The sequence below is a fragment of the Homo sapiens genome, chromosome 11 (genome assembly GCF_000001405.40).
Source record: "Homo sapiens chromosome 11, GRCh38.p14 Primary Assembly".
Lineage (NCBI taxonomy): Eukaryota > Metazoa > Chordata > Mammalia > Primates > Hominidae > Homo > Homo sapiens.
Window position 1 is genome coordinate 1,445,686 of NC_000011.10, and position 11,802 is coordinate 1,457,487.

Consider the following 11,802-nt stretch of genomic DNA (forward strand, 5'->3'; position numbering starts at 1 on the left):
GCCTCCAGCCCGGCCTGCACTGCCCCACCGGGGTCCGGGGGCTGTCTGGCCTGACCTTCGTCTGTACTCAGACCCTCCCCGGAAGCGTGTGGACTCCCCGATGCTGAACCGGCACGGCAAGCGGCGGCCAGAACGCAAATCCATGGAGGTGCTCAGCGTGACGGACGGCGGCTCCCCGGTGCCTGCGCGGCGGGCCATTGAGATGGCCCAGCACGGCCAGAGGTGTGTGTGCCCCGAGGCTGCTGGGCCTCCCTCCCTGGGCCCTGGCTGCGCGGCACTGCCGCCTGGCTCATCGCTACCCATTGGCCTGGGGTCTCGGCTGAGGCCATTGGGTGGGGCTGTATGGGCTAAACTGGGCTTAGCTGGGCTGGGCTGGGCTGGGCTTGGCTGGGCTGGGCTGGGCTTAGCTGGGCTGGGCTGGGCTGGGAGCTGAGCTGGGCTGGGCTGTGCTGGACTGGACTGGGCTAGGCTGAGCTGGGCTGGCCTGGGCTGGGCTGGGCTAGTTTGGGCTGGGCTAGACTGCACTTGGTTGAGCCGAGCTGGGCTGTACTGGACTGCGCGGCTGAGCAGGGTTGAGTTGAATTAGGGTGGGCGGGGCTGGGCTGAGCTGGGCTGAGCTGGGCTAGGCTGCACTAGAATGGGCTGAGACGGATTTGACTGGGCTGAGCTGGGCAGGGCTGGGCTGAGCTGGGCAGGGCTGGGCTGGGCTAAACTGGATTTGGCTGAGCCGAGCCAGGCTGGGCAGGGCTGAGCTGGGCTGGGCTGGCTTGACCCAAGCTTGGCTGGGCTGAGCTGTGATATGGTCACACCATGCTCAGAGCCATCAGCCCAGCAAGCCTGTCCCCCTGGTCCCAGCAATGCTGGGCCCGTCTCTGGGTGGCAAGTGTGGTGTGTGTGGCCAGGGACATCACAGAACTCAGCAGTGATGAGCAGACCCGTGGCCGGAGGAAGGGCACCCAGCCCCTCTGGAGCCTCTGCTGGGTGGGGGCAGGGCTGGGCTGCCCGCACGAGGCCCTCAGCAAATCCTTGGAGCCGGTGCGGCCTCTTGGGGATGAGCTCAAACGTCCCTCACCAGGTGGCAGCTTCCAACACTTGGGGACAGCCCTTGGGCCCAGGAGCACACCAGGAGGTCCAGGAGCCCGGGCAGCAGTCTCTGGTCTGCCCTGTGATCTGGGCCTCAGCACCCCAGGGCCCCCTCCTTGTACTGGAGATGTGGGGGGTGGGACAGGCGTGGCCTGTTCCTCGGGAACTTGGGGGAAGCTGTGGGGAACTGCAAGGTAGCTTGGCAGCCATCAGGCTAAACCTGTTCCAGCCCCAGCCCTGGCCAGAGTACTGGTGGTCCCAGTTCTGGCAGCTCCCAGGCCATGGCCCCCTGGGAGTCCTAGGCCCTCCCCAGGGTTTCAGGCTGGCCCAGCTTCCAACGTGGGGTCCCAGCCCCCAGAACCTCCTTCCCAGGGCCCAGTCAGCGCAGCCCTGACGCCAGTACTAGGGGGTAGCAAGGGGCCCTCCTATCTACATTCTACTGTCCTGACCTTCAGTGGCCTGCATGTCATGGGGGCACCACAACCTGTAGCCCAGGTGCCTGCCTCCTGCCTGCGTGGCCACCTCCCCGGACTCCCCGACCCTGCAGGGCAGGCCCCACCACCCCACTGCCTGGCCCCTCCGGTCAGCGGCGTGGGAGGCCGCCCTCTTGGCCTCTGCTGCAACTCCCAGGCCTGGCTGCCTGGGGCAGGTGTGGGATGGGCCAGGCCATGGACCATTCCGGGGCCTCTGGAAGGCCACTAGTCCTGGCATGTCCCAGCCAGATTCCACTCCTGGTGGGGCCACCTGTGCAGCCAGCAGAGACCCAGCTGCTTGGTGTTGGGCCACACAGGGCTGCTGACTGGGGACGCAGGGGTCCTGGGGGCTGGGGTGGGGGCTACCAGGCCACCCTGCCCAGCAGTCACACGGTGCGGGGTGTGCTGTCTGGCCCAGCCTCCTCTCTCGCCATCTTTGTGCAGCGGCCTCAGAGCCACGTGGAGTTCTTACCCGGTGTGGCCCGGGCCCTGGGGGCCGACCTGTGCCCGCGTGTGGCCGTCAGTAACTGTGTTTTCTCGCTCTGTTCTGCTGTAGTAAAGCAATGTTCAGTAAAAGCCTGGATATCGCTGAGGCCCATCCCCAATTCAGCAAAGAAGACAGGTATACACCCCGACCACCCGTCCCCGCACCTCCCAGCCCCAGACACGCTGTCCTGCCTCAGGCCGGGCAGGCACATGGGCGGGTCTGGTGGCGGGCTGGGCTGCAGGGCTCCTGCTGCGGTGAAGCCAGCCAGCAAGCCAGGCAAGGGCCCGCGGGCCAGGCAGAGGCCGAGGAGGGGTGGGGCTGCTGAGGCGTGGCCCACGCCTGCCTGTGAGGGACCACGCACCATGGCTTACAGGGCCTGGGGCTAGAGCCCGGCGTGGCTGCAGGCCGAGCCGCTCCTCCTGCCAGCCCCTGTGCTGTGTCCGGTGGGCCTCGGTGGCCCTGCTGCCCCTGGGGCCGGCCAGAGTTGAAGCCGAGCAGCCGTCCTGTGCCCACCTGCAGGAGCTGAGGAGGGCAGGAGGCGCCGCCGTCAAGAGGGGCCTCTACCTGGGGCCAGTTTTGCGAGCCTGGGCGGGTGGCGCCGCCCCCAAGGCTGCAGTGTGCTGGCTGCCGGTCGGGGTCCTTCTCTTTGAGCCCTGGCCCCGTGCCTACCTGGGACCCTCACCTGTGTGCCCTCACTCTGCCTGCCCTGGCTGCCCTCAGGGCTGGCGCCGTCTCTCCTGCCCCTGCCCCAGCAACTGTAGCTCAGTGTTCCCAGCAGCTGCCTGGCCGGATAGGACCAGGGCTCGGCCCCTCCACCCCGGGGTTTCCAGCGCCTCTTCTGTCTTCCTCGTGCCCAGTCACGAGCTCTGGGCGGGCTCGACAGGAACCACAGGTCCAGGGCCTCACTGGTGGCTGCTGCCCCCATGAGGGCTGTCCGCGCTCCCAGCTCAGCCCTGAAAGCTCTGGGTCCAGTTCCAGCCCTGGGTGTCATCCTGGCCCAGACAGGCTGGGTTGTGCATGGGGTCCCCGTCGCCTCCCTGCCCCTTGGCTGTGTCTGGTGAGGGAGTTGGAGGGTCGTCACCGTGGGGACCAGCCCCCGGGTGTCCGGGAGCCAGGTGTGTGGCCAGCGTGGCACTCTCCACGGTCCGGGGCCTGGGCCGTGGTGTGGACTAGCGAGGCCCCTCGTGGCCGGCTGGCGGTGGGCAGGCCTGGTGGGTAGTGCAGGCCGGGCTTTTACTCTTCTCTGTCCTCTTCTCTTCGGCGGCTGCCTCGGCCCCTCCCTGCATTTCCTTCCTCCAAGGATGGCAGCTGCCACTGTCTGGGCACGTGGGCGCCGGCTCGTCCGTGCAGTGTGGTGGAACGACGCACAGCCGTCCTGGTCCCTGCACGGGGGTGGCGGCCACACACCGGAGTCTCAGCCGGGCACGCCGGGCCAGGGCCTCCCTCCTGCTGTGTGCAGGTCTCAGGCTGAGTAGGGCAGTGGTGGGACAAGGCCCCACCGTCCCTGCCAGCAGCTGCCCCAGCCTGGCCCTGCCCAGGCCCTCCTGGTTGTGGACAAGGGAAGGGCCGGCCGCTGACCCAGGCATCCCTCACGGGCATCTAGGGACATGGAGGACCAGGCTGCAGGCCCTGTGAGAGCTCAGCCAGGGGGGGCTTGGCAGGTGGGAGGCTGGAGCCAGCACGAGGCCTGGAGCAGAAGGGGCTGCATACAGGAAGCTCCCGTCTGTCCCCTCGTCCTTCCGTCCACCCCCACGCTGGATGGTCCTTTGCCGCGGCTGTCTGATGCCGTATCCTGTGCTGTGCCTGGGCTGCTGGCATGGGGTGGCCCCCACACGTGGGCTCTGATGGGGGCCCCAGTGGGGCTGGGCACAGCCAGGCGCCCTGGGCCCTCCTGAATTGACAGGGTGTGCAGCAGGACCCAGGGCCTCGAGGCTCTTGGCCCGGGCTCCAGGCCTCCTGGAGGGTTTACCTGGGGGGAGCAGAGCCCAGCACCTGCTGCTCCACTGCCCCCTGGCTGAGCAGTGGCCCTGTACCTTGTGACCTCCAGGTCTCGGTCCATCAGCGGTGCCTCCTCAGGCCTTTCCACCAGCCCACTCAGCAGCCCCCGGGTGAGTGACCCCCCGCCCCCACCCAGCTCGGATGCACAGAGGCCCCAACCCTCCCAGTCAGCGTGTGCCAGGGTGGGGGCAGCCTCGCGGACCCTGGGAAGCAGCCCCAGGCGCCCCCCATGCCCACGCTCCTGTGGCGGCTGCTGCTCTGTGGCGCAGGCTGCTCTGCTAACTGCACGCTCTTTTGTTTTGTTTTGTTTGTTTTCTTGTGTGTCACTTCTTTTCTTTTGTGGCTAATCCTCCTGCCCATGCCTGCCTGCCTCCCCACCCTCCCGCTCCCGCCTGTTTCTTTCTGGTCCTCCTGTGCCGTGTGCATGCGGGGGACTGGGGTGCATGTGCCGCGCGGCTGCCCCCACCCCGCTCGCTCCCTGCGCCTCCCCGTAGCCTATTAGGAAGCTTGTCCTGCCCCCACCGCCCCCCGAGCCGCCCTTCGTGGCCCGCCCCCTGGCCACCTCCACGGAGCCCGAAGCTTGTGGGAGCGCCTCGAGGCCTGGACACGTCCTCCCTCTGCAGGCCGCCCTGCGGCCCGACCCCAAGACCCAGACCTTGCCGTGCAAGGCCAAGCTGACCGACAAGCCTCTGCAGGGCACCAAGTCCAACCCCTTCCCGGCCAGCACCCCAGCCCGGCCTCCCGCCACTGGCCTTTGTCCCCAGCTGGCACCACCCCTGGGCCCGCCTGCCCTGCGGGTGCCCCCCCGGCCCCCACCCGCCGGGATTGAACCAAACACCAAATCTGTCCCCACCATACAGGTGACCCCTCACCCCTCACCAAGGGGCAGTCCCCTCCCCACCCCCAAGGGGACACCTGTCCACACGCCAAAGGAGAGCCCGGCTGGCACGCCCAACCCCACGCCCCCGTCCAGCCCCAGCGTCGGAGGGGTGCCCTGGAGGGCGCGGCTCAACTCCATCAAGAACAGCTTTCTGGGCTCACCCCGCTTCCACCGCCGGAAACTGCAAGGTGAGTGTCTGCCCGGAGGCGCCAGAGTGGGGCTGGGAGAGAGCAGAGGCTGCCTTGGGGAGGGCCCCGCCCGGCAGTGCCAGACCAGTCCGAGGGGCCTGTAGCTGCAGGGGTGGCCTGGGCCTGCCCACGTCTCACTGTCCCGAAAGCGCCCAGCAGCAGCCTGTGTCCTACCTGTCGCACAGGCTGGTATCCCCTCCAGACATTCTGTGTTCCTGAGTCTACCCACTCTGTGTCCTGGGGCCAGGCACACAGCAAGGAGAGCTGGCCACCGAGGGGGCACTGCCAGTCAGGAGGCCCCATGTGTGGGGCACCAAGGGCCAGCCAGTGCTGCTGGAGAAGGCACAGCCGACTTCAGCACCAGAGGCGGGGACAGCTCCCCTTAGCCTGGGGGGCGCCACTGCCAGTGGGCCTCTAAGGTGGCCGGGAGCTGGGGTGGACCAGTGCCCCTGGGGGGGCTGTCCCAGTGTGTGTGGGTGGACTCCTGATGACCCTGACCTCGGCGCAAGGTGGCCAGGGCAGGGGAAGGATGGAGCGGTCACCACGCCTTTCCTCCTGTTCATCCTGTGTGCACAGTTCCGACGCCGGAGGAGATGTCCAACCTGACACCAGAGTCGTCCCCAGAGTAAGTGGCCCCTGCTGGAGGCCTCCTGGTACCTGACACCAGGCTGGCCGGGAGAGGGGCATGGAACCCTTCCCCTATGGCCAACGGGGTGCTCCTTCTCCACGTGGCCCCACCTCCCACTGCAGGCAGGCCCGTCTCGGCCACTGAGTCTCTGAAGTTCGAATTCCCGGCTGTGAGGGGAAGGCCAGCCAGGGGAGGAGCCCCCAGCCCTGTTGAGAAGCTTCAGGCCTTGGGAGAGCCTAGGGTTGGCTGGAGGCGAGCAGGGGGTACACTGGGCAGAGTCTCCCCAGGGCCTGAGCTCGCCAAGGGCAGAGACCGGGTCGCTCAGGTCTCAAGGAGAAAGCAGCCCGTGTTAAGAACAAAGGGGCAGCAGGCCTGGTGGGAACACGTGTGCAGGGGCGGAGCGGAGCAGCCAAGCCGAGGTCTGGCCCCGCCGCCTTTCTGAGCCGTGAGAGGTGCCACTGCAGAGACTCTACAGCGCCCAGGTGCTGAGATGCCCTGGGGGCCGCTGTGACTGGTGTCTGGACAAAGATGTCCCCAGAGAGACCCCTTCCCAGCGCCCAGGCCCTCTCCCTCCTCTCCACGATGGCCTCAGTCACTGGGCAGTGTCTCGGAGACCAGGCGACTGGCGGTGTACACATATGAGCCTGCAGCGTGACCCCAGGCCAGGCAGCGGCAGAGAGCGGCGGTCAGGCTGGAGTCACTTCACAGGAGACCCCGGGAAATGAAGATGTGGCCAGCTGTGGACTGAGTAAGACGAGAACCTTCGTCCTGCTGCTGGCTTTAAACCAGGGGCCCCTGTGGAAACTGCTCAGTGCTAAGCCCCAGGAGCAGCATCTGCAGCCTGTGCCAGGATTCCACCCAGTGGCCTTTCTGCGCCGATCAGGTGGCCCTTCCAGCTGGGTGCCCAGGTCGGAGGTGTGTAGGTATTGTCGCAAGCCCAGATGCACAGGGCTCAGCAGACTTGGGAACCTTCCGCCTAGGCCCTGACATTGCCGTTTCTGCTGCTACCAAAAGCTTTCATGAACAGACTCATAATTATCTTCCTCAGAGAAGGTGGAAAACATCAAAGCCGAGAAGGTGGCTTTGATGCCACTGTGGCTGCCTGCGCTTCTCCCCTCCCCCATCTTGAGATGGCCTGGAGGCCCTGACCCCTCTCAAGGGTCCGGCACGGATGCCTCCCACAGCCCCACCCAAGGGCCCGGCACAGACACCCCTTCCCAAGGGTCCAGCACAGATGCCTCCTACAGCTCCACCCAAGGGCCCGGCACAGATGCCTGCGACAGCCGTTCCCGAGGGTCCAGCACAGACACCTCCCACAGCCCCACCCAAGGGCCCGGCACAGATGCCTGTGACAGCCCTTATTGAGGGTCCTGCACAGACGCCTTGGACGAGGGTCCAGCACGGATGCCTCCCACAGTCCCTCTTTGGCGACAACTCGCTTGCTGGGGACCTGAGATAACCCCCAGCCCCAGCTGCTGCCAGCCCCATGTCAACCAGGCACCCCAGAGGAACAGCACCAAGGGAGGCAGCTGGCTTCAGGAAGGGATGCATGCGGTTGTCTGGGACACTCAGGGCTGATGTCCTTGAGTCTGAAGTGCTAGCTGGAAGCCCAGGCAGTTTCCAGGTTGCAGCCTCGAGGGGCGTTCTTTCCCCAGGAAGACCGAACCTGGCGGATGCACCCACCCTGTGAGGAAGGGTCCCCCGCCAGACTCAACAGGCGACTGATTTAAGTTCGTCTCATCTAAAAATAGCTTCATAGCAACACCCAGACTAGTGTCCGGCCAGGCTGTGCACTGCCCACCACGTGGGTGCTGGAGTCACAGTGCAGGCCCCTCACCCCTCGTCGGCCTGGCCTCCCTGGGCCGTCAGGCATCTTTCACACATGGGACTATTTTTGCCAAATGCTGCACCCCTGGGCCGCAAAGCAGAGAGTCACGTTTGTACCATCTGTCCTGTCTCTTCATCGGGCAGAACATCGACCATGTAGAAACTCACCTGTGCTTCCAGAACTGCCAGGCTGCTTTGTGCACTTCCTGGCTCCAGGCCCTGGCATGGGGCTGGGGTAAGGTCAGGGCCAGTGGTGGCCCTCGGAGTTTTGAACCCAGAACAGACAGCCGCCGAGACCGGCAGGACACTGAGGAGGCGTCGAGGGGCTGAGTGAGGGTTGGACCTGGTCCCCGTGCTTGTCCGGCAGGACTCCCAGGCCGCACAGTGGCCGAGGAGGCAGCTCCAGGAATGGGCAAGGGAAAGGGGAGTTGTGAGGCCGCTGGGAGGGGCCTCAGAATCAGTCGGGAGAGGGCACCACTGAGCCCCAGCCCTGCTGGCCCCTCCTCCCGGTCCCTGCCTCTGCCTCTCAGCACACCTGGTTCCACCTCCAGGCAGCAACGGCAGGGGACGCCAGCAGAGCGTGCCACCTCTGAACAGCCACCCAGGCGCGCTCTGCCTGAGTCTCGGGCTGTGCTAGAGGCGCCTCTGGCCATGGTCCTCTCACGGCTGGGCTTCCTGGCCCCCGCGCTGGTGGGTGGGGTTCGGGTGCTCTTGAGCTGGAGAGCAGAGGGCCTCTGCATGTTGGGGTGAGCCTGCCAGCAAGACAGGAGTAGCCTTCTGTGGCCTCAGAAGCGCCTCCCCACTCTCCTGTTGGAAGCGAGTTGCAGGCCCCGCCTGCTCCTGGGGGTGGGGGGCACAGCTGACTTCAGGAGCCCAGCTTGAGCCACCTCTCACAGCGGCCTTGGTGAGGGGGGGCTCACCTGTGGGGGGCTCACCTGTGGAGGGGCATCCCCAGACTTGGGAGTGGGTGGCATATGGGCCAGGGTCAGGGCGTTAGGGCTTGGAGAAAGGTTAGGGTTGGGGTTGGGGTTAGAGCCACGGTGATGGTCAGGGCATATGGGCTAGGGTTAGGGCGTTGGGGTCAGGGCCATGGGTTCTGGCTAGCACTGTGGAGACAGCCGTTTCTATCACGAAGCGATGGAAGATTCCGCCGTTCCAACCCCAGATTCGAGGGAGGCAGGGGTGTGGACGGTGCCACACCTCAATCCTCACAGCCTCTGTCTCCCACTGCCCAGGCTGGCGAAGAAGTCCTGGTTTGGGAACTTCATCAGCCTGGAGAAGGAGGAGCAGATCTTCGTGGTCATCAAAGACAAACCTCTGAGCTCCATCAAGGCTGACATCGTGCACGCCTTCCTGTCGGTGAGGCCACAGGGCGCTGGGGGAGGCGGGCAGCCCTCCCAACCCCACACGGCCCAGCCCCGAGAATCCAGCCTCCTCACGTAGACAGGACATGTCCACGCGCACAGCACGGACGTCCGCTCACCCGTGGGCCTGCCTGGCCGCCTTCACTGGACAGGCGCTCTCTCCTGCCCACCCTCGTGAGGGAGGGGTCACTGCCCATCTGGGGTGCTTGGCCTGCGGAGGGAGTCAGGGCTTTGCTCACTGGTCCCCAGCAGCCCTAGGTGTGTGCCGGACAGGCCTGGGCAGCTGGCACGTGGGGCAGAAGGAAGGCTCCAGCTGGGTGGGTCTCAGAGGGGGACATTTCCATCAGACTCGGGGAGAAGCCCTTGTGAGGCCATGGCCCTAGGGACCGGTGGGGCTCTGCTGGCCCTCAGTGGACAGCCCCAGCCCTCAGGTGTCTCAGTTTCCCTGGTCTCACCCTGCCCTCGGAGGCCGGGTGGCTCTCCACAGAGTGGTCGCGCTCGGGGTCTTGGGTGGGCTTCATTTGTCTTTGCTGGGCATCTTTGGGTTAGGAGGAGCAGAAAGGCCCTAAAAGCCTCAAATGGAGAAAGTTTATTGCCAGGACTCCAGCACCCAGTCCCATCAGGACGCCCCTTCCTTGCCGGCCCTGCCCCACCCTGTGCTGCACCCAGCGCCCAGGCATCACAGGGGCTGCCCCCCACCCGCCTCCCCCACCGCCCCCAGCCTGCCTCCCCAGGGCTGCTGTCCTGCCCTGTGCTCACCACTGCCCGGGCGCCCTCCCTGGCCCCAGGGTCTTGGCAAGATCAGGCCGTGGTTCGCTTCGGCAGCCTCTCTAGCTAGGGACTGGCCCCCACCCCACCATATGCTCTGCCCCCGGGCACTCAGGCCACTGCTGCCCTGGCTGCAGCTGAGCTTCCCTTACGCTGTGGGGACAGCTTGGAGCCCCTGCAGAAGGCTCCAGGGCCAGGAGAGCCCAGCGCTGGGCAGGGCAGGCCTCAGACTGCACTTGGACCCTGGCCTCAGGGGTCCTCAGCGTCCCCGTCCCCGTCCCCACAGGCTGCTCACTTCCTCGGCCTCCTCCCTCACCACATCCCTTCATGCTGCCCCTGGTTGCCACGGCTAACCTCAGACTCAGCCCCTCCCCATGCCGGCCCCAGTGAGGCGGCTGTGTGCCAGCCTGGGCCCTGTGCGCTGGGTGGCCCTGAGTTCTGCTTCCTGCAGCTGCCCCCTCGGTACTGTGAAGCCCACCCAGCCAGTGCCCAGCACCATAGGTCCCGCAACCAGTGGGAGTCCCAGGAAGCCCCAGCAGGAGGGCACAGCCCCAGCCCCGCCCTTGCACCTCCCTCTCAGTGGCAGCTCCCAGACCCCCCACCTCCCACTCAGCTCCACCCTGGACCCCCACCTCAGGCTGCAGGGGTCACCTTCCACCTCCATCTTTGCCCTTAAGGCTCCTCTGTAAGGTCCTGGTCATCCTGTGCTGTGGCTGCCTGAGAAAAGCCCGGCAGGGGCTTAGCTGTGCCCGCTAAGTGGACCAAAGCTTTGGAGGGTGGGGGCTGGAAACGCCCCTCCCCCTGCTCCAGCCGTCTCCAACCGCACTGTGCCCCTCACGGAAGCAGAGGTGCCTGGGTGCTCACAATGTGTGCACGGTGGGGCTGGCTCGCCCCAGGGCTGCCTCCCCAGAGGGCCAGGGTGGGACCTGCCAGGCCAGCCACGCTCACGCTGCTCTCTCTCCACAGATTCCCAGTCTCAGCCACAGCGTCATCTCCCAAACGAGCTTCCGGGCCGAGTACAAGGCCACGGGGGGGCCAGCCGTGTTCCAGAAGCCGGTCAAGTTCCAGGTTGATATCACCTACACGGAGGGTGGGGAGGCGCAGAAGGAGAACGGCATCTACTCCGTCACCTTCACCCTGCTCTCAGGTGAGCTGGCGCCCCCAGGGCGGCTCCGGGCCCAGGCCCGTCCAGGGCATAACCCCCTGTCTCCCCTAGGCCCCAGCCGTCGCTTCAAGAGGGTGGTGGAGACCATCCAGGCCCAGCTGCTGAGCACACACGACCCGCCTGCGGCCCAGCACTTGTCAGGTGAGGCGGGCTCAGCTCCGGCCAACCTGCGGCCTGCGAGTGGGGCGTGGCCAGCTGGTGCTGCGCGGACGGGAGGCGTGAGGACCCGGGCGCAGCCTCCTGGCCCCTCTTGACGGACGCCCCCACCTCCCTGCCCCGAGCTGTGGCTGCACCCCTCAGGGAGCAGAGCCCCTCCCTGGCCTGGCGGGACCACCCGCCTCGCCTCTGCACGCCAGGGACATAGGGCGCAGCCGCACCACACTGAAAGGCGCCTCTTGTCCACCGTAGAACCCCCCCCACCAGCGCCAGGACTAAGCTGGGGTGCTGGGCTTAAGGGCCAGAAGGTGGCCACCAGCTACGAGAGTAGCCTCTGACGCTGGCAGGTAAGGCGCCCGGCCTGTGCTGGGGCGGGGAGGGGCTGCGGGCAGGTCCTCGGCGGAGCCAGGCTGGCCCTGAGCAGGGCCCTCCATGCCCACCCACAGGTCTCGGCCCTGGACAGGCCAAGCATGCCCCGGGCGGCCCATCTGCTAGGGCAGCCTGCACAGGACCTGGGAGAGCAGTGACAAGGCCCTGCCCTCGGGACTCCCCGCCATGGCACCCTAGGAGGGCCGCGGGCTGCCTGACGGGCTGTGACTTCTCATCTCTCCATACTTCCTGACAGCCCAGGGTCATGCCTCCAGCAGGGCAGAGGGGCTTGAGCCCAGCCAGAGCGGGGGCTTCACCACAGCCTGATGGGCTCACACAGGGGAGGGTTGCCCCAGCCTGGAACCACCAGGGTCTAGGACCCGAGGGTCCGTGCCACTCGGCATACGGCAGGGAGG

General features: G+C 66.6%; 1 protein-coding gene across 29 annotated transcripts in view, besides 2 other annotated features; it reads left to right on the forward strand.

Moving 5' to 3' along the window:
* Positions 1–11,802, forward strand: part of BRSK2 (BR serine/threonine kinase 2) — a 72,756-nt gene that overhangs the window by 55,752 nt on the left and 5,202 nt on the right. For 11 of the 29 annotated variants that reach the window (NM_001256627.2, XM_005253218.4, NM_003957.4 and 8 more), the window contains exons 12-18: positions 72–222; positions 4,091–4,151; positions 4,902–5,109; positions 5,686–5,734; positions 8,800–8,923; positions 10,663–10,843; positions 10,913–11,002. In NM_001256627.2, coding sequence (NP_001243556.1) covers positions 72–222; positions 4,091–4,151; positions 4,902–5,109; positions 5,686–5,734; positions 8,800–8,923; positions 10,663–10,843; positions 10,913–11,002 — 864 coding nt within the window. Of the gene's footprint in view, positions 1–71; positions 223–2,112; positions 2,179–4,090; positions 4,152–4,535; positions 5,110–5,685; positions 5,735–8,799; positions 8,924–10,662; positions 10,844–10,912; positions 11,003–11,269; positions 11,365–11,802 lie in introns of all 29 variants that reach the window. The other 18 variants (XM_006718374.3, NM_001440668.1, NM_001440670.1 and 15 more) reach the window with 4 other exon arrangements.
* Positions 2,424–2,923: an enhancer, noted in NCBI's record as "H3K4me1 hESC enhancer chr11:1469339-1469838 (GRCh37/hg19 assembly coordinates)". NCBI's record gives its function as "activates a minimal SCP1, AML or CMV promoter by ChIP-STARR-seq in naive H9 embryonic stem cells {active_cell/tissue: H9 hESC(naive)}" and the evidence as "EXISTENCE:reporter gene assay evidence [ECO:0000049][PMID:30033119]".
* Positions 7,334–8,043: an enhancer, noted in NCBI's record as "H3K4me1 hESC enhancer chr11:1474249-1474958 (GRCh37/hg19 assembly coordinates)". NCBI's record gives its function as "activates a minimal SCP1, AML or CMV promoter by ChIP-STARR-seq in primed H9 embryonic stem cells {active_cell/tissue: H9 hESC(primed)}" and the evidence as "EXISTENCE:reporter gene assay evidence [ECO:0000049][PMID:30033119]".